The sequence below is a fragment of the Homo sapiens genome, chromosome 22, assembly GCF_000001405.40.
Source record: "Homo sapiens chromosome 22, GRCh38.p14 Primary Assembly".
Lineage (NCBI taxonomy): Eukaryota > Metazoa > Chordata > Mammalia > Primates > Hominidae > Homo > Homo sapiens.
Window position 1 is genome coordinate 28,864,481 of NC_000022.11, and position 5,280 is coordinate 28,869,760.

Genomic DNA, 5,280 nt, shown 5'->3' on the forward strand with positions numbered 1-5,280 from the left:
CCTGGGCTCAAGTGATCCTCCTGTCTTGGCCTCCCAAAGTGCTGGGATTACAGGTGTGAGCCTCTGTGCCTGGCCTCATTTCTGTTGTTTTAAGCCACCAAGTTTGTGGTAATTTGCTACAGCAGCCCTGGGAAAATACTAATAGGCAGGAAGCTGGAGCGGGGAGCAGCAAAGTCAGGGGACAGGGAGCCCAGACTAGAGGCTGGAGAAGACCAGGCATGTAGCAGGATGAGGCGTGCTCACCTCCCACACGCACCAGGAGCAGGGCAGTCCTCTTACTCATAGGCAGGTCCATTCCCCCAGGGCTAGGAGGATGGGGTCTCTACCTTCACTATTTTCTTTAGAAAGAAGAAAGAAAGAAGAAAGATAGTGATGGCGGTAAGGACAACAGGGCCCTCGGGGGCACATGGCTATGCTGTGGCCTGGAGAGAGGCAGACTCTTCTCAGAGGAGGCTAAGGGCCTCTGGCTAGAGCATGGCTACAAGCAAGGTGGCTAACATGAAGAGACCATGGTGCAGAGGCAGATGCCAGCAGGCTAAAGGACAATTCTGGAATGGGGCAGTGGGAGGGGTCCTGTGTCTTTGGGCTTCTTTGATCCCTGAGACACTTTGGACGGGACAGAGCCTTGGCCACCAACGGGGTCATGTCTGTTTAAACAAAATTTAACACAGGAGGTAAATCATTAACTCACTGAAGAAACAAACAGGAGTGCAGGCCATATCTCTAGCACCAGGATTCAAGAGCCACGGGGATGTTAAGAACTCCTGAATATCAGAAGTGGCTGCCACTCATGGCTTCTGTAAGTGAGTGAAAGCATTTGGTGAGCACCTTCTATAAGCAAGTCTTCGTGCCAGGTGCTGTGGGAACAGATGCATGAAGAGGCTCAGAGTCTGACCTGAGCTTGGAGCTGGGGGAATACGAGCTCACAGCCATTGTGAGCATGCCCATGCCTGTCTCCAGGCCCACCACGGCCCATCCATCATCTCATGTAATTCTCATGCCTCTGAGGTAGGGCAAGGATTGCCTGCATTTCATAGACAAGGAAACCCAAGCTCAGAGAGGGAGAGCAACTTGCCTCGGCCACACAGCTTGTCAGTGGTGGAGAAAAATAAACAGGAGCTGGCTTTTGCAGAAAGGGGAAGAAATTGTTAGGGTTCAAGGATGTGTTTAGGAACTTAAGGGCAGGAAGCACAACTTCCTGAAAGACAGGAGCCAGGTCCAGCAAAGCCATCAGGAGGCAAGGCAGCCACTGACCCTGTCTGGGACCATAGAGTCTCCCAATTCTACTTCTCATGGAAGATTTATTTTATTCTTCCCTCTATTTGAAGGTTAAGAGCAAGGGTTCTGGCATCTGATCTGGGTCCAGTCCTGGCTTCACCATTTATTACCTCTGTGATCTCAGGCAAGCCTACTTCCCCACCTACAAAACAGGGATACCACAGTCCCCAGGTAAGGATCACAGGAGAAAACATGGGCAAAGCCATTGGCACAGTGCCTGGCACATAATATATGCTCAATAAAACCCAAGTTGCTATTATCATTTTACTAGTAGGAAACAGCCTCCCCAAGCCTCCCAGCTCCACAAACACCCATCAACTCACTAGCACCCTCCTTCTGACTTCTTCAGCCAGAAGAAGCAACTATTGCAAGTTGGTATAGCAACTATACCAACTATAGCAAGGGAGAGAGGGAGGGTCATTTCATTCAAACACAGTTTCAGGTATGTGTGGACTAGTTTGAAGAAAAGTGGAGGCCTGAGAAGTTAAGTAGACTAGTCAAAAGGTTTCTGTGACAGGAATTTCAACTGCAGGGTCTTGTGATCAACCTTCCCAATTCCTCCATCATGAACACTTGGGGTATCAGGGAGGGCAGTCAAGCTGAGGGAATAGCAGGATGAGGGCTCAGAGGTAGGAAAGGGCCTGGTATGTTTGAGGGGGTGGGTGATCTATAGGCCATGGAAGGTGCAGAAGAGGCAGGAGGTGTAGTTCGGGGCCCAGTTAAGAAAAAGGCTTGAGGCCAGGCGCTGTGACTCACGCCTGCAATTCCAGCACTTTGGGAAGCCAAGGTGGGAGGACGGCTTGAGACCAGGAGTTCAAGAACAGCCTGGGCAACATAGCGAGATCTCCATCTCTACAAAAAATAAAAAAAATTAACCAGACTTGATGGCATACTGAGATGGCAGTCCCAGGTACTTGGAAGGCTGAGGCAGGAGGATCACTTGAGCCCAGGAGTTTGAGGCAGCAGTGAGCTATGATGGTGCTACTGCACTTCAGCCTGGATGACAGAGGGAGACCCTGTTAGGAGGGAAGGAAGGAAGGAGGGGAGGGAGGGAGGGAAAGAAAAAGAAAGAAAGAGCCGGGCACAGTGGCTCACGCCTGTAATCCCAGCACTTTGGGAGGCCGAGGCGGGCGGATCACGATGTCAGGAGATCGAGACCATCCTGGCTAACACGGTGAAACCCCGTCTCTACTAAAAATACAAAAAATTAGCCGGGCGTGGTGGCACGCTCCTGTAGTCCCAGCTACTCGGGAGGCTGAGGCAGGAGAATGGCCTGAACCCAGGAGGCGGAGCTTGCAGTGAGCCGAGATCGCGCCACTGCACTCCAGCCTGGGTGACAGAGTGAGACTCCTTCTCAAAAAGAAGGAAAGAAAGAAAGAAAGAAAGAAAGAAAGAAAGAAAGAAAGAAAGAAAGAAAGGAAGGAAGGAAGGAAGGAAGGAAGGAAGGAAGGAAGGAAGGAAGGAAGGAAGGAAGGAAGGAAAGAAAGAAAGAAAGAAGTAAAGAAAAAAGCAAGCCTTGAATGCCAGGATTTTATTTTGGTGTAGACTCAAGAGTCATTCATTCATTTAGCGAACGTGTGGGAAGCATTATGTTCCATTCAACTGTATGGGAGGCATTTTGCCAGGGATTAATTACCTGCCTAAGCAAAAGGCATAGTCCTTGTCCTCAGGGAGTTAAATGGCCTAGTAGGAGGAAACGGGCACAAAAATGGATGAATGTTTTGCAACATGATTCAAGCTCCAAGAGGGACCTGCTGAAGGTGGGAGAACAGGGGGAGGAGCACCTGTCCACCAGAGGTTTGGGAGAGAGGTGGAAAAGACCTTAGAGGAAGCAACTACCCTGTCTATTTTTGCTTTTATGTGTTTTGCCTGACTGCCATCCATTCCTCCTTTACTAAGGGGACACAGTCATCAGCCAAGCTTGGTCCATATAGTTTCAAGGTACTGACTCAGGTCCCCTGCTCCAGAGAAGGGCAGATGAGCCAAGTCTAGCCAATCAACAGAGGCTATCTCCCTGGCCATAGTGATTGGTTCAGAAAGGTGCACATAAGTCAGGTCTGGCCAATGAGGGTCAACCCATGATTTGGGTTGGCACTGAGGGGAAAGGAGCTCTCTTTACACCAGGAGTGTTGGCAACATGGATTAGCTGAGCCTGGAAGAGAGGGGCCGCCATGTAAAAAAAAAACGAGAAAAGTGGCGTCACAGAGGAAAGCAGAGCAGCCAACTGGAGAGCAATGGCGTCTGACAGTATCTTTGAGCCCCTGGTCCCATTAGTGTCTGAACCCAAAATTATCTCTAGACTTCAGCTAGGCAGGGTGGCTCACGCCTGTAATCTCAGCACTTTGGGAGGCCAAGGCGGGCGGATCACTTGAGTTCGAGACCAGCCTGGGAAGCATGGCAAAACCCTGTCTCTACTAAAAGTTTTTTTTTTTTTAAATCATCTGGGCTTGGTGGCACGTACCTGTAGTTCCAGCTTCTCAGGAGGCTGAAGTGGGAGGATCACTTGAAACCAGGAGTTTGGGGCTGCAGTGAGCTGAGATTGTGCCACTGCACTCCAGTCTGGGTGACAAAGTGATGCCCTGTCTCAAAAAAAAAAAAATATATATATATATATTTTATATATATATATACAAATATATATATGTATATAGTTACTGTATTAGTCTGTTCTCATGCTGCTAAAGACATAACCGAGACTGGGTAATTTATAAAGGAAAGAGGTTTAATTGACTCACAGTTCCACATGGCTGGGGATGTCTCACAATCATGGCTGAAGGCGAATGAGGAACAAAGTCACTTCTCACACGGTGACAGGCAAGACAGCTTGTGTTGGGAAACTCCCCTTTATAAAACCATCAGATCTCGTGAGACGTATTCACTCTGACGAGAACAGCAGGGAAAAGACCCGCCCCCATGATTCAATTACCTCCTACCAGGTCCCTCCCACAACACGTGGGAATTATGGGAGCTACAATTCAAGATGAGATTTGGGTGAGGACACAGCCAAACCTTATCAATATATTATCTCTGGACCTTGAAGTTATGCAAATCACTAAATTAGCTTTTTTTTTTTTTTTTTGAGACGGAGTTTTGCTCTCGTTGCCCAGGCTGGAGTGCAGTGGCACGATCTCAGCTCTCCGCAACCTCTGCCTCCCAGATTCAAGAGATTCTCCTGCCTCAGCCTCCCAAGTAGCTGGGATTACAGGCATGTGCCACCATGCCTGGCTAATTTTGTCTTTTTAGTAGAGACGAGGTTTCTCCCATGTTGGTCAGGCTGGTCTGGAACGCCTGACCTCAGTTGATCCACCCGCCTCAGCCTCCCAAAGTGCTGGGATTACAGGCGTGAGCCACCGCACCTGGCACCTTTTTTTTTTTTTTTTTTTTTTTTTTTTGGAGACAGTCTTACTCTGTTGCCCAGGTTGGAGTGCAGTGGCAAGATCTCCAGCTCGGCTCGCTTCAACCTCCGCCTCCCGGGTTCAAACTATTCTCCTGCCTCAGCCTCCTGAGTAGCTGGGAGTACAAGCGCCCGCCACCATGCCCAGCTAATTTTTGTATTTTTAGTAGAGATGGGGTTTCACCATGTTGCTTAGAATGGTCTTGAACTCCTCATCTCAGGTAATACACCTGCCTTGGCCTCCCAAAGTGCTGGGATTATAGGCTTGAGCCACTGCACCCGGCCTAAATTATCTGTTTTGCTAAGGCAATTTGAGATGGCTTTCTGTCACTATAAGAGAAAGGGTTTTAATATGTTTGATCTCTTATTCCTGACTTCTAGTTTTCCTTTTTTTCCAAATAATTCTGGTAAGTTTCTTCTGTACCATCCCAGGAAAAATATATAAATATTTATATACATATATATGGAGTATATATATATATATAATTTCACTGTATTTTCAAGGACGTTCATTGCAGCAGTGTTTGTAGAAGCCAAAGAGTGAAAACAACCTGCATCCACCAACAGAGAAGGAGTTATGGACAAATGAAATGATAGCCTACATTTGC

At 48.1% G+C, this 5,280-nt stretch overlaps 1 annotated feature.

Moving 5' to 3' along the window:
• Positions 3,941-4,235: an enhancer, noted in NCBI's record as "tiled region #13625; HepG2 Activating non-DNase unmatched - State 23:Low, and K562 Activating DNase matched - State 18:Pol2". NCBI's record gives its function as "activates a minimal TATA promoter and a strong SV40 promoter by Sharpr-MPRA in HepG2 and K562 cells {active_cell/tissue: HepG2 | K562}" and the evidence as "EXISTENCE:reporter gene assay evidence [ECO:0000049][PMID:27701403]".